Raw genomic sequence first — 21,931 nt, forward strand, 5'->3', positions numbered from 1 at the left:
ACAACTGCAGGATCCAGTAGAAGAATATACGTATGGGTGCTCCTTTGGCTTTCTGTGCAACTCTTCTGTGACTTCCTAATTTTAACAAATGCAATCTGAGATGAAGGGGGATATTATGGACCACTTTATTACAGTCAGTTTGAAAACAAAGAAAAAGGTAACCAGTCGCTAGGAAACAAAATCCACCAAAACTAACACAAGAAGGAACAGCCAACCTGAACCGTTCCAGAATCATTACAGAAAGATATGAGTAGTCAAAGGCTTTCCACTAATAAACTCTAGGATTCCCCACCACATTCTGAAAAACATCCTAGGAATACCTGTCTTCCGTTTGACACAAACTCGTGCAGAAAATTGAAAAGGAGGAACAATCCTCCACTCACTGTATGAGCTTGGCATAACCTCGATACCAAATCCTGCAGGGACACTTAGAGAAATATTGCAGATCAATCACAGGCTCATGACATAGAAGTAAAAACTGGAACCAGAATCTTAGCACACGGAAGCCTACAGGATATAAAAAGGAAAATACCTAATATGGCATGACTAATATTGGCTTCATCCCAGAAATACAAACTTAATTTCTCTTCAGAAAATACAATGGTATAATTCTCCACATTAACAGATTTGGAGAGAGAAGCATGCTCTTCATAGTCACAAAAGGTATTGACTAAATGTCAATTTCCATTTGAGATGTATTGCTGACAATTTTTTTTTCTAAAAAGTCAGGACTATTGGGCTATAACTTACACAGAGGTCTGTGAGATCTCGTAAATGCGTATGGCTGTAAAAACACCAGCACAATATATATAGATATAGAGCATCGCCATCCCCCGCCCCCCTCCCCCGCCAGGTTCCCTTACGTCCTCTTGTACTGAACTCCTCGTCTTAACCCTCAGACCCTGGCAACCATCAATCTGTTTTGTGTTCCTAGAGTTTTGCCTTTTCCAGAATGTCACATAAATGGAATCACACGGTACGTAGCATGTGCATTTGGCTTCCTTCAGAGAAAGACACTCGGACTGCGATTCCCTAAAGGTGCAATGTACAGTTTCATGACCTGGGTAATAGCTACCTGGCTTGATCACCTTACAACTGTTTGTCAAATGGCCGGCTTCTGAGTTCTCTCCGTGTGCGTGTGTGTGCGTGTATGTGAGACAGAGAGTGTATGGGTGTGTGCGTGCGTGGGGGGGTGTATTATGTTTCAAAAATGTAATTTTACATTTAACCGCCTCTAACTTTTATATCTTGATGATGGTTATTAAATGGCAATTATTAATCCTTTAAGAGAAAGTGACTGATTGTTGGAAAAGTCAGTAGAGTCATTTCCTCTGTGGTGTGCAAAGTGGGAAGTAGTGATCAGGATGGGGCAAACAGGAGGGTTCCAAAACCCTGCCAACCTTCTGTTCCTCGCTCTGCATGGTAGTGACCCGGACTTCAACAACTGCACAACCACATGGGCGCCGTTCACACTGGATCACGAGAACGGAGCACCCTGGAATCCCACAGATAGAGTTTGCACGGCCACCCTGGCGGCCACAGCCTCCGCGGCCATACCTGGCAAACACAAGTGTTGGCCTCATCCTTCGAGGAAACGCATGATGAGAAAATGTGTGGGGAAAAGGAGGAGTTCTTGGGGTGGAGGTTGAGGACAGATGTGCATGAGGTTGTCCGAGTTCACCCAGGAGTGTGTTCCAGGCGGGCTAAAGTTCATGGCTGGTACTCACCATGACCACTATGATCCTATGATTGCCATCTCACATCCCCGTGTGCGGTGCCCTGGGCCTCCGCCACAGCCTGGAAGGCCACCCTTGGGGACTCTGGCTGGCGGGCGTGCTAGGAGACTCACACACCTTCGGCCCTAGCTGGAGTCTGAAGAGGAGATGCTCTTTTCTGCCAACAAAGTAAGAGGTCTCATATGGAAATGTACCTGTGGCAGTCCTGGCACCAGGTGTAGGTGGGATTCTGCACAGGGCTCCGCCACTGTGGCAGGCACGCAGCTCACCAGACCTCTGGAGCTCATCTGAGCTGAGTGGCAGGACAAGGCAGGAGGGGGTCTAAGGCTCTCCAGGCCAGACCCCACATTCCTCTTGGTGGGAGAGGAGGCTTGAGGGAAAAGCAAAAGGGGGCCACTGAATGAGGGGAAGGGCTCAACCTCCTCCTGTCCAATGGGACCCAGATGGATTCCTCTAATCCGAGGAGCCTCGGATTCTGCACTTACATCCCCTAGAACCAGAAGGCTCCGCCCGACCATGCGGTGTACCATGGGCCTAGGGTGTACATGTTATGGCCCCATTATTGTGCAGAAGGTGGTCTGAATATGGAACCGAGGTGGCGTGCTGGGAGGCGGGGCTGGCAAAAGCCAGCAACTGAGGGATGGGTTCACGCCTTCCAAGACTCCGTCCACGGGCTTCTCCCCTTCCACACCCTGTCGACCATGGCCCATGCCCCCCGGGGCAGTGACTGGGGCTGGAGTTCTGCCCCCACCAGAACCTGCCTAGATGTCTCCGGTGGCAAAAACCCAAGCTGGAGAGTCCCTGACACATGTCTTCCCCCAGACACCAGCCCACTGTGTTATCCCCCCAAGAAACAACCACCTGTGTCAGGGTCAAAGCCTTGGCCCAAGGAGTCAAGCCCATCCTCTCCGGTGAGGGGTTAGATTCGGATGGGGTAGGTCCCCACCAGCGTTGGTTTCCAGGTCTGAGGTCTGTGATTGACCCACCACGTGCGTGGTGGTCCCCCTCGCTGAGCTCACACCATGAGCCCAGCAGGGAGACACAGAGGGAGTATGGGGGAAGGCAGATACCGAGCCCAACCAGCTGTCCCAGGGCAGTCTCTCTTTCCCACTTTCCACCCTCTCTGTGCGTATCTTGCCCATGTGTTGGTTAGCGGGCATCGTGGTGCCCTCCCACGGGAGCTCCCCATTTCCTAGATGAGGCACCAACCAGCGACTCTGAGGTATTATCACTGCACCCACACACGGGAGTGCTGAGACATCCCATCCATCCTGTGGAGGATCAGGAGCCTACTGTGGCACCTCCAGCATTCTGAGAGCCCCGACACCCGTCCCTGTGTTTGGGGATGTCCCCTTCGTCCCACTCCACAGCCTTCTAGGTGTTAGACTTGAACAACACCTCTTGTGAAAGGGTAGATCCCAGCCCTGCTTTAGCGAATTCGATCCTTCATGGATCCTTCACCACTGCTTCCACTCCATGAATCAGTCCATTCTCGCTCAAGGGACAGCACCCACGATTAATTTGATTCCCAAGCAGGTGCTAGCAGGGGCATGCTCACGCGTGCACATGTGCGCGCGCGCGCGTGCACATGTGCGCGCGCGCGCGCGCACACACACACACACACACACACACACACGCTAACCTTGAATGGTATCTGCATTTCTATTGTTTTTGTCTGTTCGCAACACCCAGTCTCTTGGCAATGGGAGCTGGCAGAACCTACACACACCTCCTCACTGGAACCAGAATCTATGCCCGAATCTGGGGCCTGCCCAGCCCAGGATGCCGGCTGAAGGAACGAGGCGATCTCAACTGTCAGGGATGGTGAAGGCAGAAGAGAGAGCTCGAGGAAATCTCGTGTGACCTGGAGAGGCGGTCTGGAAGACTGACCAGGGACGCGAAAATATTATGTCCACAAAAACCTGCGGCCTTGGGGGTGGTGAAATGGTATTTCACAGGGACTATCGAAGACCAGCCAGGCCTAGCATCCACACTTGCCCTGGAAAGCAGCTGGCCATTTTCAAATCAAGGGTATGGAGTCCACTGGCTGCAGAAGGGGCTGCTGGCCACCTATAGAACACCAAGGATATGGAAGCCACTTTCTGTGTAGGTGCCTGCGAACAGTTTCCACCAGGTTGGCCAACAGGCGCCAGAACAGACTCGGTGCCCCCACCTCCAACCAACAGACTATCTTGCCCTTTTCTTCTGCACTCCATCTACCTTCCCTTTGACTTAGCCAGCCACCGGGGTGTGGCTTCTGCCTCCACAAGGCTACTGAAACTAAAGAGGGAGACCTAACGGGATTTGATAACTGAGGTTCAAAGGTGAGGGCTAAGACGAACTGAGGATGTCACGCAGGTTACTGGCCCAGATGACCTGACCGTGTGCATGGTGGCACCGGAGGGAAATAATGGCTCCAGAAAGAGGACTGAGCTCCGTCGTGTTCCTCAACAGCACGGAAATAACCATGCAGGAACGGCCACCGGGGTCAAGCCACGGGGGAGAGCAAGGATGCTCATGATGGAAAGGACAGTGACAGGACAAACAGGGACAGTGAACTGCAGGAGGAAAGGTTGCTCAAAGGACCAGGGTGCTCAAAGGAGGCCATCAGTTCCTGCTGAAGGGGAGAGAGAATAGCACTGAAGAAGGGGACCTGTGAGACCCCAAAGTGGGAGGAGAAGAGGAGGGAGCATGAGCAGGGCGTGTACAGGAAAAGCAGGAAATGCTGCTGTGGCCGGGCAGGGCCTCCCACAGCACCTAGACCCAGGGCACTATGGTGAGCCCGAGTGCAGGGCTGCTGCTCAGAGGCCCGCCCAGGCGCCCCGCAGGGAGATGGCCCACCACAGAGCGCCAGGGGAACTGTTCTTCCAGCGCCAGGGAACGGAGCAACACCCGGCACACCCCAACACTCCCAACAATCGCAGAGAGGGCAGACCACAGACCACAGAATATGAGAACGACTTTATTTCACACTGCTTTGAACTGCGTTGGGAAGGGGGCAAATGCAGCGGAAGAGAAAAAGCCCTGGCTAAGGAGGATAAGGAGGAAACTCGCTTGGCTGCAGCTCCGGACGCTGGCTCCAACCTGTGAAACAGAGCAGGCTCAGGGACTGGCTCCCAGCCAGGGCCAGCCCACAGCCCTCCTAAGCTACCGGGATTGTGGGAAGGGGCACGGTGTGTGCAACACTCACTTCAAAGGCCCTGGAACTTGTCGTTGAAGAACTGCATGGCCGCTGAAACAGAGAGGCAGAACCGGGCACTCCAGACCCAGGGAAACAGAAACTCACCCCCTGCCCCCGTGGGGAACCACCTAGCCCTGCAACCAGAAACCCCACCAGCCCTGGGACTGACTCATCCACCCGTCACCTGAATTAAATGTGGAAATGCCTTCTAAGCGGGAAAGTGGTTCTCAGGTGCTGGGCCATGCCAGAACCGTTCATTCAGAACGTGTTTCAAAGACAGATAAGCCAGCCAGCAAGCAAACACCGTACAAGCCATACCAGGCAGCAGTTAAAGGGAAAACACATGCGGTATCTCTAACCCTCCTAAGAGAAGGAGAGTTCTGGGACTCGTGGACTAAGTGTACACGGAGTTCAGACGACACATTGCTGTCTGTGCACACCCCTAGCTGGAAAGGCACAGAAGGCTCCAGGGCCAGGCTTTCCTTGGTTCTCTTCCCCAAAGGAAAGTCAGTTCCAGTGACGCCGCCTGTACCTACAGCCCACCCCCGCCCCCCGCACCAGCAGAAAGACACCGCTGTCCATCCCTGCCCCAGCCAGGGCTCCATCATACCTAGCTGCTGTGTAAGGTCCTCAATTTCCCTCTGCAGCCGGATGCACTAGACCAGCAGACACCGGAGGAAGATAAATGGTTAGTCAATTCTGGCCTCCTCTCTCCTCGTCTTCCCTGTCTCCCCCAGCCCTTAGTAGCCCCCATAGCCTGCAGCCCAGTGGTGAGGTGGGTTGGCATGAAACCCTCAATGTAAAAGAGGCACCCTCTCTCCGTGGGATGCAGAAGGTGGTGACGGGGCGGGGCGGGGGGACACAGAAATCAGTTTAACCTGGACACGGATCCCACCATCTAACGTGGACTTCTATTTCTAGGAGCCACACAAAGCATTACCCGAGGGCAACCCTGGGCTCCCAGGGGCCGGCGGAGGCCTGCCGCCATTCTCCAGGGCTGGGGCCCAGCACGCCTCTCCCACTGGGACCGACCTCCAGGTCCGCCCAGTTGTCAGCCGACCCTTCGGCAGCGGCACCTTCTGGGGAGGGGCGCCCTTGGACGCTGGGCCGGTGGCACGATGGTGGCTGGTTCGTCAGCCAGGGAGGACGAGTAGTCCACATCGTCCCCTTGGTCGTCAACTGGGGTGCCAGGCCGGCCTTCCCGGCCCCAGAGCACCACCTTTCCCTGCTCTATCAATTCGCTCTCAGACTCGAAGCTGAAGACCTCGGGATCTGTGAACCTGCTCTCGCCCTCGCGGCTGCCTGGCGCCCCCAAATCGAGGCCGTGGCCCTGGCCCCGTGGGGCTCCGGGGCTGGCCATGCGGGAGCCAGCCTGCTTGCCACCCTCCAGGCCGAAACTGGCCCCACAAACGGCTACCTTGTCGGGGGAGCTCATGGCGCCAGTCTGGGCAGCCTGGGCTGCGGGGAGACGGTCGTCCTGGTAACGGCAGAAGGGGAGAGCCGAGTCCTGCCAAGCCCGGCGGAGCGGGCCACGCGACAGGAACAGTGAGGCCTTCGGGACACCGCTGCCCTCACCCCGGGTGGAAGTACCAGATGTCCCCGACAGCGCGTGGCTTCTGCGCGTGCACTTGACGCCAGTGCCGCGACTTCTCATTGGTCCCCCTCTACCAACCAGCGCGCCCTTTGTTGGCAGAGGCCTCTGGGCTTTAACCAATCGGAACACAGGCTCTTGGTTTGCCCCGACACCCGTCATTTGACTGGGTGGCTGTGCTCTGGTCTGGTCTTGCGGCCAGGGGGCACTGGAGCTCTCGATCCACCTCCTTCTTGCTCTCCTGCTGCCTCTGGCTGGGAACCTACTTTCCAATGAGACCTCCTCTGTGCACCGGGTGCTTTGCGTGCATCACGACATTTACTCTCCCAAGCTGATGAGCTGGGGGAAGGTCTCCCCTTAATCCCCACCTTACAGATGGGACACTGGGGCTCAGAGACGTGGCTCTCCTTGGAAAGTAGGTGCCCGGCCAGAGGCAGAAGGACAGGAAGAAAGAGGTGATCGAGAGCTACGGTGCCCCCTGGCCCCAAGACCCGACCAGAGCGCAGCCACCCAGTCAAATGACGGGCATGGAGGCAAACCAAGAGCCTGTGTCCCGATTGGTTAAAGCTCAGGCACCTCGCCCCACAAAGGGCGTGCTGGTTGGCAGACGGGGACCAATGAGAAGGCTCGGCGCCGGCGTCAAGGGCGCGAGGAAGCCACTCGCTGTCCCGGACATCTGGTACTTCCGCCTGGGGCGAGGGCGGTGGTGTCCCGAAGGCCTCACTGTTTCTGTCGCGTGGCCCGCTCAGCTGGGCTTGGCTGGGCTCAGCTCTCCGCTCCCGCCGTTACCAGGACGACCGTCTCCCCGCAGCCCAGGCTGCCCGGACTGGCGCCATGAGCTCCCCCGACAAGGTGTCCGTTTGTGGGGCCGGTTTCGACCTGGAGGGTGGCAAAAAGGCTGGCTCCCGCACGGCCAGCCCCGGAGCCCCAGGGGCCCACAGCCACGGCCTCGATTTGGGGGTGCCGGGCAGCGGCGATGGCAAGAGCGAGAGCGGGTTCACAGATCCAGAGGGCTTCAGCTTCGAGTCTGAGAGCGAATTGATAGAGCAAGGAAGGGTGGTGCTCTGGGGCCGGGAAGGCCGGCCAGGCACCCCGGTGGATGACCAAGGGGACGTTGTGGACTACTCATTCTACCTGGCTGACGAACCAGCCGCCATCGTGCCGCCGCCCAGCGTCCAGGGACACCCGTTCCCAGAAGGTGCCGCTGCCGAAGGGTCGGCTGAGAATTGGGCAGATGCGGAGGTCGGTCCCAGTGGGAGAGACGTGCTGGGCCACAGCCCTGGAAAATGGCAGCAGGCCTCTGCCGGCCGTCTCCACCTCTGCGGTCCTGGGCCAGTGCGGGCCTGGAAGAACCCGGAAAGGGGCTCGAAGAGCAGATGGAGCCTCCGCGTGGATCCCCAGCAGCCCTCTGCGAAAGGCCCCACCAGGCTGCCTACCCACGACTCTGATTCCGCAGATGAGAGCAGCGACTTACCACTGATGAAGGTAGGCATTTGCCGCAACGAAGGAAGCCAGGCCAAGCCCGGCAGCCCCAAGAAGCGAGCAGACACATCCAGACAGGCAAGCTTCCACTGCAAGGAGAGTTACCTGCCTGTGCCGGGCCGTTTCCTGACCTCTGCTCCCCGCGGACTCACTCCAGTCGCAGAGAGGCCGGCTGTGGGAGAGCTGGAGGACTCTCCCCAGAAGAAAATGCAGAGCAGGGCCTGGGGAAAGGTGGAGGTCAGGCCCAGCTGCTCAGGAGCTGCTGCTGCAGGGGCCCTGCCCCAGGGCCTTTCGAGGAGGAAGATGGCCGGGGGGAAGAAGTCCCTAGGGGGTGCCTCTCAACTGGCCCTGGGGAGAGGCTTTCCTGCCTGCGGAGAGAGACTCTCAGCCGCTCCCCCGGAGCCGGCCACCTTCCCGCCATTCTCTGGTGTGCGGCCACAGGGGATGTCCAAGAAACCCCAAAAGCCTAAGCACAGCAGCCCTGGGAAGAAACCAGCAGGGAGGAAGACCAGGGAGTCCCAGGCTGCGGCCAGAGAAGATAATGACCCAAATAGAGATGAGGTCCCAAGAGCCCAAGTGAGTAGGCCCTTCTCGCCCTCCTCTCCCTCTTTACCCTCCTCCCCCCACACCTCCTCTCTTCCAGCACACACCTGTTTACCCATGCCTCCTCTGTCCCTTGCTCGAGGGTTGTCATCGGGAGCCCAGGGACACTAGAATGCCCGATGGGTGTCTTCCTCATAAGGGCACACGTTAAAGGGAGCACTTCTTGTGTGATGGCCATGCCTCTGGACGCTCTGCAGGGGTCCTGCCTCCGCCCGCAGAGAGGAGCTGGGGTGGAAGGCAGGGCTGGCAGCTGGTTTGGATCGGGTGATGCCTTAAAGTGTGGGCTGCAAAGCTGGGGCATCTAGGCTCATCAACTTCCTGATTCCTCCTTCCCTAGCTGTTGCCCAACCCACCTGGCAGGCGGCCCCGGGCTATCTCAGTATCCCCAGTGTTTTCCCTGGCTGGCCTCTGCCTCCTGGCCTGAGGCTGACTGAGGGAGAAAGTGCTAATGAGATTAGGCTCAGGAGTCTCCACCTTACCACAACCCCTCCCCACGTGTACTCACCGCCGGCCCCCATCGCCAGCCCGACTCAGAAGTTTCTGTTTTAGCTTCCCACCCACAGGCCAGGACTGCCTCGCCTGTCTGTGCGTCGTGGAGAATTCAGCAGTAGCGACCCCAACATCAGAGCTCCCCAACTTCCGGGAACTTCAGAGCCCTCGGCCTACAGCCCGGGAGGCCTCGTGCCCAGACGCCATGCACCCTCCGGTGAGTCTTGTGGGTTTGATAGGGGTGGAGGGGAGAGGGGTCGGGAGGGAAACCTCTGGCCCTGTCGCTTCTGGGGGCTCAGCCTTATTCCCAGACTTCCCTGCCCACCCAGGCAGCTGTCCCACGGGGAAACGGGGTGTTGACTGGGCTGGCTTTAAGCCACATCGTCCTCTCTGAGTGGGGTTTGTGTGGTGGGGGGCGATTTGGAGCAGCGCCCCAAACTCCCAACTCTGGAAGGAGACTTTCGGCAGTACTGAGCCCTTTTCTGTTAAGTCCTGCTCAGCCACATGGGCCCTCCCAGGGCCTGGCTGTGGCTGCCGCACTGCTGGAGTCCAACCTGGAGTCACAATGCTAGGGGGCCACAGGTGCACATGAGCTTACACTGGGGAACAGTGAAGGCAGTCCCAGAGCGGGGTTGGAGTTGCTGGGCAGAGCAGGGGCAACGTGTACCAGCAGAGGGTGATGCTGCCTCACATTAGACACCACTAGGCCCTTTCCACCTCACTGGGAGGCTTGGAAGCTGGATTTTGTGTTCTCTTTCAGGTAACCAGCAGCCGCCTGTCCATCCCCCAAGACCGGAAAGGCAGCAGCAGCCCCCGGGAGCCCAGGGCTGTCCTCGGGTAATGCTTTGTGTGGCTCCTAGAAATAGAGGTCCACAGTAGATGGTGGGATCCGTGTCCAGGTTAAACTGATTTCTGCGTCCGCCCCCTCCCTCCCCACCGCACTCCGCACATCTCCACCTTCTGCACCCCACGGAGAGAGGGTGCCTCGTTTCCATTGAGGGTTCCCTGCCAACCCACCTCGCCACTGGGCTGCAGGCTATGGGGGCTGCAGGGAGGCTGGGGAGAGAGGAGCACAGAATTGACCAACCATTTATCTTCCTCCGGTGTCCGCTGGTCTAGTGCATCTGGCTGCAGAGGGAAATTGAGGACCTTACACAGCAGCTAGGTATGAGGGAGCCCTGGCTGGGGCAGGGATGGACAGCGGTGTCTTTCTGCTGGTGTTGGGGGCGGTGGTGGGCTGCAGGTATGGGCAGCATCACTGGGACTGACTTTCCTCTGGGGAGGAGAATCAAGCAGACCTGGCCCTGGAGCCTTCTGTGCCTTTCCAGCTAGGGGTGTGCACAGACAGCAATGTGTCGTCTGAACTCCGTGTACACTTAGTCCACGAGTCCCAGAACTCTCCTTCTCTTAGGGCGGTTAGAGATACCACCTGTGTTTCCCCTTTAACTACTGCCTGGTATGACTTGTATGGTGTTTGCTTGCTGGCTGGCTTATCTGTCTTTGAAATACGTTCTGTACGGTACTGGGATGGCCCAGCACCTGAGAACCACTTTCCCGCTTAGAAGGCATTTCCACATTTAATTCAGGTGACGGGTGGGTGAGTCAGTCCCAGGGCTGGTGGGGTTTCTGGTTGCAGGGCTAGGTGGTTCCCCACCGGGGCAGGGCGTGGGTTTCTGTTTCCCTGGGTCTGGAGTGTCCATTTCTGCCTCTCTCTTTCAGCGGCCATGCAGTTCCTCACTGACAAGTTCCAGGACCTTTGAAGTGAGTGTTGCACACACCATGCCCCTTTCCACAATCATGGTACCTTAGGAGGGCTGTGGGCTGGCCCTGGCTGAGGGCCCGTCCCTGAGCCTACTCTGTTTCACAGGTTGGAGCCAGCATCTTCCTACAAGATGAACAGCTGCCACCTTTGGAGCTCCGGAGCTGCAGCCAAGCGGGTTCCCTCCATATCCTGTTCAGCCAGGGCTTCCTCTCTTCCGCTGCATTTGCCCCCTTCCCAACGCAGTTCAAAGCAATTTGAAATAAAGTCGTTCTCATATTCTGTGGTCTGTGGTCTGCCCTCTCTGCGATTGTTGGGAGTGTTGGGGGTTGCAGCGTGTTGCCCGGTTCACTGGCGGTTGAAGAACAGTTCCCCTGGTGCTCTGTGGTGGGCCCTCTCCCTGCGGGGCACCTGGGCCGGCCTCTGAGCAGCAGCCCTGCACTCGGGCTCACCACAGTGCTCTGGGTCTAGGTGTGTGGGGGCCCTGCCCGGCCACAGCAGCATTTCCTGCCTTTCTCCTACACGCCTTGCTCACGGTCCCTCCTCTTCTCTTCCCACTTTGGGGTCTCACAGTTCCCCTTCTTCAGCGCTATTCTCCCTCCCCTTCAGCAGGAACTGATGGCCTCCTTCCAGAACCCGTCTCTCTCACCTTTCCTCCTGCGGTTCACTGTTTCTGTTCTGCCCTCTCACCATCCTTTCCATCGTGAGCATCCTTGCTCTCCCCAGTGGCTTGATGCCAGTGGCCTTTCCTGCATGGTTATTTCCATGCTGTTGAGGAACAAGACGGAGCTCATCCTCCCCGCCCCTCAGGGGCCCAGTCCTCTTCCTTGAGCCGTTATGTCCCTCCGGTGCCACCATGCACAGGGTCAGGTCATCTGGGGCAAAAACCCGCTTGGCATCCTCAGTTCCTCTTAGCCCTCACCTTTGAACCTTAGTTACCAAATTCTGTCAGATCTCCTCCTTAGCTTCAGTAGCCAGGTGGAGACAGAAACCACATCCTGGTGGGAAGCTGAGCCAAAGGGAAGATACCTGGAGTGCGGAAGAAAAGGGCAAGACAGTCTCTCGGTTGGAGGTGGGGGCACTGAGTCTGTTCTGGTGCCTGCGGGCCAACCTGGTGGAAACCGCCCGCCGGTAGCTACGCGGAAGGCGGCTTCCACATCCTTGGTGTCCTATACGCAGCCAACAGCCCCTTCTGCAGCCGGTGGGCTCCATACCATTGATTTGAAAATGGCCAGCTGGTTTCCAGGGCAAGTGTGGATGCTAGGCCTGGCTGTTCTTGGATGGTTCCCGTGAAATACCGTTTCACCACCCCCAAGGCCAACAGGTTTTTGTGGACGTGATTATTTCTGTGTCCCTGGTCAGTCTTCCCGACCGCCTCTCGAGGTCACACGAGATTTCCTAGAGCTCCCTGTTCTGCCTTCACCCTCCCTGACAGTTGGGATCGCCCGCTTCCTTCAGCCAGAATCCTGGGCTGGGCAGGTCCCAGATTTGGGCACAGATTCCGATTCCAGTGAGGAGGTGTGTGTAGGTTCTGCCAGCTCCCATCGCCGAGAGACAGGGTGTCGAACAAGGACAGGAGAAATACAGATACCATTCAAGGTTAGCGTGTGTATGTGTGTGTGCACGCCCCTGCAAGCACCCGCTTGGGAATCAAATTAATCGGGGGTGCTCTCCGTTGAGGGAGAATGGGCTGATTCACGGAGTGGAAGCAGTGGTGAAGGATCCATGAAGGATCGAATTCGCTAAAGCGGGGCTGGGATCTACCCTTTCACAGGAGGTGTTGTTCAATTCTAACACCTAGAAGGCTGTGGAGTGGGACGAAGGGGACATCCCCAAACACAGGGACAGGTGTCGGGGCTCTCAGAATGCTGGAGGTGCCACAGTAGGCTCCCGATCCTCCGCGGGATGGATGGGATGTCTCAGCACTCCCATGTGTGGGTGCAGTGGTAATACCTCAGAGTCGCTGGTTGGTGCCTCATCTAGAAGTGGGGAGCTCCCGTGGGAGGGTGCCACGACACCCGCTAACCAAGACATGGACGGGCAGGATGCCCACAGAGAGGGTGGAAAGTGGGAAAGAGGGACTGCCCTGGGACAGCTGGTCGGGCCCGGTGTCTGCCTTCCCCCATACTCCCTGTGCGTCTCCCTGTGGGCCCATGGTGTGAGCTCAGTGAGGGGGACCATCACGCACGTGGTGGGCCAATCACAGGCCTCAGACCTGGAAACGAACGCTGGTGGGGACCTACCCCATCGGAATCCAACACCTTCCCTGAGAGGGTTGGCTTGATTCCTCGGGCCAAGGCTTTGACCCTGACACAGGTGGTTGTTTCTTGGGGGGATAACACAGTGGGCTGGTGTCTGGGGGAAGACGTGCGTCAGGGACTCTCCAGCTTGGGTTTTTGCCACCGGAGACATCTAGGCAGGTTCTGGTGGCGTGAGAACTCTAGCCCCAGGCACTGCCCCGGGGGGCATGGGCCATGGTCAACAGGGTGTGGAAGGGGAGAAGCCCGTGGACGGAGTCGTGGAAGGCGTGAACCCATCTCCCGGTGGCTGCATTTGCCAGCCCCGCCTCTCAGCACACCACCTCGGTTCCATATTCAGACCACCTCCCGCACAATAATGAGGCTGTAACATGTACACCCCAGGCCATGGGCGGGTGGAGCCTTCCAGTTCTAGGGGAAATAGGTGCAGAATCCGAGACTCCTCGGATTAGAGGAATCCACCTGGGCCCCAGTGGAGAGGAGGAGGTCGAGCCCTTCCCCTCATTCAGTGTCCCGCTTTGTCTTTTCCTTCAATCCTGCTCTCCCACCAAGAGGAATGTGGGGTCCCGCCTGGAGAGCCTTAGACCCCCTCCTGCCTTGTCCTGCCACTCAGCTCAGACAGGCTCCGGAGGTCTGGCGAGCTGAGTGCCTGCCCTTGATGCAGCCACAGTGGCAGAGCCCTGAGCAGAATCCCACCTACACCCGGCGCCAGGGCTGCCACAGGTACATTTCCAGATGAGACCTCTTACTCTGTGGGCAGAAAAGAGCATCTCCTCTTCAGACTCCAGCTAGAGCCGAAGGTGTGTGAGTCTCTGCACACGCCCACCAGCCAGAGTCCCCTAGGGTGGCCTTCCAGGCTGTGGCGGAGGCCCAGGGCATCGCACACGGGGATGTGAGATGGCAGTCATAGGATCATAGTGGTCATGGTGAGTACCAGCCATGAACTTTAGCCCGCCTGGAACACACTCCTGGGTGAACTCGGACAACCTCACGCACATCTGTCCTCAACCTCCACCCCAAGAACTCCTCCTTTTCCCCACACATTTTCTCATCATGCGTTTCCTCGAAGGATGAGGCCAACACCAGTGTTTGCCAGGTACGGCCGCGTAGGCTGTGGCCGCCAGGGTGGCCACATCTATCTGTGGGATTCCAGGGTGCTCTGTTCTCGTGATCCAGCGTGAACGGCGCCCATGTGGTTGTGCAATGTTGAAGTCCAGGTCACTACCATGCAGAGCGAGGAACAGAAGGTTGGCAGGGTTTTGGAACCCTCCTGTTTGCCCCATCCTGATCACTACCTCCCGCTTTGCACACCCCAGAGGAAATGACTCTGCTGGCTTTTACAATAATCACTCACTTCCCTTTAAGTATTAATAATTGTCATTTAATAACCCTCACCAACATATAAAAGTTAGAGGCAGTTAAATGTAAAATTATATGTTTGAAACATGATACACACACACACACACGCACACACACACACACGGAGAGAACTCAGAAGCCCGCCATCTGACAAACAGTTGTAAGGTGATCAAGCCAGGTAACTACTACCCAGGTCATGAAACTGTACATTGCACCTTTAGAGAATCGCAGTCCGAGTGTCTTTCTCTGAAGGAAGCCAAATGCACATGCTACGTACCGTGTGATTCCATTTATATGACATTCTGGAAAAGGCAAAACTCTAGGAACACAAAACAGATTGATGGTTGCCAGGGTCTGAGGGTTAAGACGAGGAGTTCAGTACAAGAGGACGTAAGGGAACCTGGCGGGGGAGGGGGGCGGGGGATGGCGATGCTCTATATCTATATATATTGTGCTGGTGTTTTTACAGCCATACGCATTTACGAGATCTCACAGACCTCTGTGTAAGTTATAGCCCAATAGTCCTGACTTTTTAGAAAAAAAAAATTGTCAGCAATACATCTCAAATGGAAATTGACATTTAGTCAATACCTTTTGTGACTACGAAGAGCATGTTTGTCTCCCCGAATCTGTTAATGTGGGGAATTATACCACTGTATTTTCTGAAGAGAAATTAAGTTCGTATTTCTGGGATGAAGCCAATATTAGTCATGCCATATTAGGTATTTTCCTTTTTATATCCTGTAGGCTTCCGTGTGCTAAGATTCTGCTTCCAATTTTTACTTCTATGTCACGAGCATGTGATTGACCTGCAATGTTTCTCTAGGTGTCCTTGCAGGATTTGGTATTGAGGTTATGCCAAGCTCATACAGTGAGTGGAGGATTGTTCCTCCCTTTCAATTTTCTTTTCTTTTCTTTTCTTTTCTTTTTTTTTTTTTTTTTTTGAGACGGAGTCTCGCTCTGTCGCCCAGGCTGGAGTGCAGTGGCACGATCTCGGCTCACTGCAAGCTCCGCGTCCCAGGTTCACGCCATTCTCCTGCCTCAGCCTCCCAAGCAGCTGGGACTACAGGCGCCTGCCACCACGCCTGGCTAATTTTTTTTTTTTTTTAATTTTTGGTAGAGATGGGGTTTCACCGTGTTAGCCAGGATGGTCTGGATCTCCTGACCTCGTGATCGACCCGCCTCGGCCTCCCAAAGTGCTGGGATTACAGGCGTGAGCCACCATGCCTGGCCCCTCACTTTCAATTTTCTGCACGAGTTTGTGTAAAATGGAAGATATGTATTCCTAGGATGTTTGTCAGAATGTGGTGGTGAATCCTGGAGTTCATTCGTGGAAAGCCTTTGACTACTGATATCTTTCTGTAATGATTCTGGAACGGTTCAGGTTGGCTGTGCCTTCTTGTGTCAGTTTTGGCGGGTTTGGTTTCCTAGCAATTGGTGACCTTTTTCACTGTTTTCAAACTGACTGGAATAAAATGGTCCATAATACCCGCTTCATCCCAGATTGCATTTGTTTAAATTTTGGAGTCACAGGAGAGTTAGTTGCAGGGAAAGCACAAGGAGCACCCATACGTATATTCTTCAACTGCATCCTCCAGTTGTTACCACTTTCTCACATCTGCTTCAGCCCTCCCTCCATCCTGCACCCCTGTCTTTCTCTAAGCGTGTGTGCGTGCTTGTATTTTTGTTTTATTGTTTTGTGGAATCATTTGAGATCCCTTGGAATCATTTAGATCCATCATCGGTAAATACTGCAGCATGTATCGCCTGCAAGGAAGCATGGGCTCCCACAAAACCTTAATGCCACCATGACACTCAGGAAATGTAACATGGAGACCACACAATTTTCTACTGTATGATCACATGAAACATTCTCCGATTGTCCCCATGGTCCCATAGTATCCCTCATAGCTGCTTTCTAACAAAATTCTCTTTCCAACCAAACATCATGCTTTGCATTTAGTTGTCAAGTCTCTTTTGAGACAGGGTCTCCCTCTGTCGCCCACGCTGGCATGTAGTGTCACGAACCCGGCTCACTGTAGCCTCGACCTCCAGGCTCAAGCCATCCTCCCACCTCAGCCTCCTGAGTAGCTTGGACCACAGGCAAGCGCCAACCGCTCGCCTAGGTCTCCCAAATTGACGGGATTACGGGGGTGAGCCATGAGCCATGGTTCCCGGCCCATCAAGTCTCTTCAGTGTCCTTTAAAGTGTGCTTTTTTTTTTTTTTTTTTTTTGAGATGGAGTCTCCCTCTGTTGCCCAGGCTGGAGCACAGTGGCACGATCTCGGCTCACTGCAAGCTCCACCTCCCGGGTTCACGCCATTCTCCTGCCTCAGCCTCCCGAGTAGCTGGGACTACAGGCGCCCGCCACCACGCCCGGCTAATTTTTTGTATTTTTTAGTAGAGACAGGGTTTCACCGTCTTAACCAGGATGGTCTCCATCTCCTGATCTCGTGATCAGCCCGCCTTAAAGTGTGCTTTAAACCAGTGCAGTCATTGTCAGGAAGCCCTTGAACGTAGGTTTGTCGAATGGCTTCCTTGTGATTAGATTCAGGTAGGTATAACATTTTTGGCAGGACTACTGCATAGCAGACATGCTGTTCTTCTCAGTGCACGACATCAGCAGATTCTCCATGTCGGTTTGTCTCATGACTGGCGATGTTCATCTTGACCATGTGCTCAGGGCGCTGTTCCAGATTACCCCATTGTGAAAGTGCCATCTTCTCTTTGTATTTAATTAGCTATGCGCTGTTACTGCATGGGCACTCTGTGTGAATATCCAGTTCCCCCACAATATCTTCTTTCTATCTTTTGGATGTCTGCATATGATATGGCTTGGAACCGTGTCCCCACCAAGTCTTCTGTCAAACTGTGACTTCTAATGCTGGAGGTGGGGCCTGGTGGGAGGTGACTGGATCATGGGGCTGGATTTCTCAGGAATGGTTTAGCAGCATCCACTTGGTACTGTCCCTGTGGTCGCGAGTGAGTTGTCATGAGTCTGGTTGTTTAAAAGTGTGTGACACCTCCCCCTGTTCTCTCTCTCTTGCTCCTGCTCCTACCATGTAACAAGTACCTGCTCCTGTTTTGCCTTCTGCCATGATTGCAAGTTTCCTGAGTCCTCCTAGAAGCAGAAGCCGCTATGCTACCAGTACAGCCTGCAGAACCATGAGCTCTTCTCTTTATAAATGACTCGGTCTTGGATATTTCTATATAGCAACACGAGAACGGACGTAACATCGTTTGTGCTTATTTCTCCCTTTTCTTTCCTGATAGCGGTGCCCTTCTCCCTTGTTTTCTTGACCAGTCTCACAAGAGGTTTACCAATTTCATTCTTCTTCCAAACACCCAACTTCTGGTTTTGTGATCCTTATGCTTGTTTCCACTTTCACTGATTTCTGCTTTTACCTTGATGACTTCCTTCTACTTTCCTTGGTCTTACGTTGGGCTTCTTTTTCGAACGTTTTCTCTTTAATTGTCTGCGATCCTCTTTTAAATATATGCTTTTAGCAGCCTACACGTCCCTCTCAGGACTCCTTTACTGGTGCCGACAAGGGTTTATGAGTAGTATTTTTGTAATCATCCAGTCCCAAATATGGGAAACAATGAAAATCACAACTTCCATGGGACGGAATGAATACATTGTGGTATGTTAATACAATGGAATACTATTTCAGCAACGGAAAAGTACAAAGTACTCCTCCATGGAATAATAGGCGCGAATCTTACAAAGATAACATCGAGGGAAAGAAGCAAGGGACAACACGGACATGCTTAATGATTCCATTCCTATAACTTCAAATGACAGGCAACACTAACCTACCTTGTTGAAGAATGCATACTTAGGATATAAAACCACAGAGAAGAGCAAGGAAAGGACAATCAGAAAAGTCAGGATGTTGGTTTCCCCTTGCAGTAGGAGTGGGGCTGAGCTCAGGCAGGGACACCCCAGGAGGCTCTGGGGAATGCTGGCGGTGTTCTTCTCTGGGACCTAGGGGAGCGTTCCTGTGCAGGTGCACTGGACAATCATTTATTAAACTATGCACATAAACTGTGATGTTTTCTTTCTGTACGTTGCCTGCCACCATAAGCAGACAAAACAATAGTGCTAAGGGAAGTAACACTGCATTAAACAGGTAAGTATTTTATAACCAGAAGGATAACCAAAATTTTATTTTCTCTATTTATAGCAGATCTCCTTGCGAGTACTAATATCAGTTTATTGATAGTGATAGCTTGATTTCAAATTCTCATAGATTTCACCAAACATCGTAGGAACGATGCTTACATAATTGTGATATTAATTTCGATGTTTTGGTAAATATTTTATATTTGGGTGGCAAGTTTTCATTCAGAATTTGTGATTATGTGTTGGAACACCATGCACTTGGTACATTTTTCTCACGGGAGATTTGTCACCTCCCCATCCACTTATTCTCAGGGGCAGACGACTTAGGACCTGAGAAAAAGAAATTAAGGCAACAACGTTAAGGGGCAGCAACGCAAATTTTTACCTTCATAGTTTATATCAGTTAATTGTGGTATACTCACATGATGGAATAACTTTTTTTTTTTTTTTTTTTTGCAATGGAAATGTACGGGGTATTCTTAGGGATACTGTCCATTTTTAAGAAAAGTCCATTACCAAGATATAACAAATTACATAAAGTTAACTATCATATGATATTTATAAAGCATACTACACATATATACAAGTTTAGAAAACCAATCGACTGTGAATGAACTATTGTGAAGTGAGGAAAACACGTATTGAGTACTGAGGTCAAGAAAGAGTACATTGCAGTTCTAGAGGTCTTATATGTATTTCATTGTGCTAAAGACACCAAATATGAAACTCTACATAATGTATGATTCCATTTGTAGAACATTCTTAAAACTGGAAAACTACACATACAGAAAACTAATCAGTCATTTCCAGGTCTGTGGATTGTGAGAAGTGTTTAACTACAAATGTGTGTTATTTGTTATTAGCAATTTTGCCCCTCTTTATTTTGAAATGTAACATACATAGAGAGAACCTCACAATATGTGTGTGTTGTTTAATAAGTGATTATCAAGGGCACCTCTACAGAAACACCCCCATGTCACAGAGGAGAACACCGCCAGCATTCCCCAAAGCTCCTGGGGTGTCTCTGCCTGATCTCAGCCTCATTCCTCCTTCAAGAGGAAACCAACACATTTACATTTGTGATCCTTCTTTCCTCTTTTTTCTCTACGTTTTTCTGTCCTATGTCCTATATTACATTCTTTTAATACTACAGTATGCCTGCAGACGACATGTTCCTAAATCTAGAAAACCACACAGTCTCAGCCCCAAAGCTCCTTAAGCTGATAATCAACTTCAGCAAAGTCTCAGGATACCAAATCAATGTGAAAAATCGCTAACATTCGTATACACCAACAACAGTCAAGCAGAGAGCCAAATCGGGAACACAGTCCCATTCATAATTGCTACACACACCAAGATACCCAGGAATACACCACACCAGGGAGGTGAAAGATCTCTACAAGAAGAACTACAAAATACTGCTCAAGGAAATCAGAGACGTGACAAACAAATGGAAAAACATTTCTGCTCATGAATAGGAAGAATCAATATCATTAAAGTGGCCATACTGCCCAAAGCAATTTGCAGATTCAATGCGATTCCTATTAAGTTACCTTTGGCATTCTTCACAGTACGAGGAAACCTATTTTAAAATTCATATGGAACTGAAAAAGAGTCTGAATGGCCAAGGCAATTCTAAGTGAAAAAGAACAAAGCTGGAGGCATCACGCTACCCGACTTCAAACTATACCGCAAGCCTACACTAACCAAAACAGCATGGTACTGGTACAAAAACAGACATGGAGACCAATGGAACACAATAGAGAACCCAGAAATGAGGCCCCACACCTACAACTATCTGGTCTTTGACAAACCTGACGAAAGCAAGCAATGGGGAAAGGATTCCCTATTCAGCAAACGGTGCTGGGATAACTGGCTAGCCATATATGGAAGACTGAAACTGAACCCCTTTCTTACACCAGGTACTAGTCCGTTCTCTTGCTGCTAATAAAGACATACCCGAGACTGGGTAATTTATAAAGAAAAGAAGTTTAACGGACTCACAGTTCCACATGCCTTGGGAGGCCTCACAATCATGGCAGAAGGCGAAGGAGGAGCAAAGGATGTGCGTTACATGGCGACAGGGAAGACAGCATGTGCAGGGGAACTGCCCTTTATAAAACCATGAGATCTCATGAGACTTATTCGCTATCATGAGAACAGCACAGGAAAAATCCACCCCCGTGACTCAATTACCGCCCACCGGATCCCTCCCACAACACGTGGGGATTATGGGAGCTACAGTTCAAGAGGAGATTTGGGTGGGAACACAGCCAAACTATATCACACCATACACAAAAGTTAACTCAACATGGATTAAAGACTTAAATGTAAAACCCCAAGCTATAAAATCCCTGAAAGGCAACCCAGGCAATCATTTTCTGGATAAGGAATGGGCAAAGATTTCATGACGAAGACACCAAGAGCAATTACAACAAAAGCAAAAATTGACAAATGGGATCTAATTAAACTAAAGAGCTCTGCACACTAAAGGAAACTACCAGCAGAGTGAACAGACAACCTACAGAATAAGAGAAAACTTTTGCAGACTATGGATCTGACAAAGGTCTAATATCTAGCATCTATAAGGAACTTAAACAAGTTTACAAGGAAAAAACCAAACAACCCCATTAAAAAGTGGGCAAAGGACACGAACAGTCACTTTTCAAAACAAGACGTACATGCGGCCAACAATCCTGTGAAAGAAAGCTCAACATCACTGACCATTAGAGAAATGCAAATCAAAACCACAATGAGATACCATCTCACGCCAGTCAGAATGGCTATTACTACAAAGTAAAAGAATAATGGATACTGGCGAGGTTGCAGAGAAAAAGGAACACTTATACACTGTTGGTGAGAGTGTAAATTAGTTTAACCATTGTGGAAGACAGTGTGGTGATTCCTCGAAGACCTAAAGACAGAAATACCATTCGGCCCAGCAATCTCATCGCTGAGCATATACCCAAAGGAATATAATAAATCATTCTGTTATCAAGACACGTGCACGTGTATATTCATTGCAGCACTATTCACAATAGCAAAGACATGGAATCAACCTAAATGCCCATCAATGGTAGACTGGATAAAGAAAATGTGGTACATATACACCACGGGATACTATGCGGCCATAAAAAAGAATGAGATCAGGTCCTTTGCAGGAACATGGTTGGATCTGGAGACCATTATCCTTAGCAAACTAATGCAGGAACAGAAAACCAAATATCGCATATTCCCACTTACAAGTGGGAGCTAAACCATGAGAACACGGGGACACAAAGAGGGGAACAACACACACTGGGGCCTATTGGACGGTGGAGGGTGGGAGGATGGAGAGGAGCAGGAAAA

General features: G+C 52.5%; 1 protein-coding gene across 2 annotated transcripts; it reads left to right on the forward strand.

The window, feature by feature from the left end:
- The first annotated feature begins 7,267 nt into the window (after nucleotides 1-7,267).
- CXorf49B (chromosome X open reading frame 49B) lies at nucleotides 7,268-11,123 on the forward strand. Of its 2 annotated transcripts, NM_001145139.2 has the most exons (6): nucleotides 7,268-8,566; nucleotides 9,143-9,299; nucleotides 9,843-9,919; nucleotides 10,202-10,247; nucleotides 10,802-10,843; nucleotides 10,950-11,123. In NM_001145139.2, the coding sequence occupies exons 1-5, from the start codon at nucleotides 7,343-7,345 to the stop codon at nucleotides 10,840-10,842; spliced, it is 1,545 nt and encodes a 514-aa protein (NP_001138611.1). In that variant the 5' UTR covers nucleotides 7,268-7,342; the 3' UTR covers nucleotide 10,843; nucleotides 10,950-11,123. The 2 variants fall into 2 exon arrangements, 1 of the variants encoding a protein (NP_001138611.1); NR_165034.1 differs by lacking the exon at nucleotides 7,268-8,566 and having other exon boundaries at nucleotides 9,136-9,299; nucleotides 10,950-11,119.
- The last annotated feature ends 10,808 nt before the right edge of the window (nucleotides 11,124-21,931 follow it).

This window comes from Homo sapiens, chromosome X (genome assembly GCF_000001405.40).
Source record: "Homo sapiens chromosome X, GRCh38.p14 Primary Assembly".
NCBI classification, from domain to species: Eukaryota; Metazoa; Chordata; class Mammalia; order Primates; family Hominidae; genus Homo; species Homo sapiens.

What these genes read in the sequence shown, in the direction of transcription:
- CXorf49B (NM_001145139.2), top strand. Translation starts at nt 7,343, where the DNA reads ATGAGCTCCCCCGACAAGGTGTCCGTTTGTGGGGCCGGTTTCGACCTG. An exon ending in ATGAGGTCCCAAGAGCCCAA is followed by an intron (nt 8,567 to 9,142) that starts GTGAGTAGGCCC and finishes TTTCTGTTTTAG; the next exon opens with CTTCCCACCCACAGGCCAGG. An exon ending in CAGACGCCATGCACCCTCCG is followed by an intron (nt 9,300 to 9,842) that starts GTGAGTCTTGTG and finishes GTTCTCTTTCAG; the next exon opens with GTAACCAGCAGCCGCCTGTC.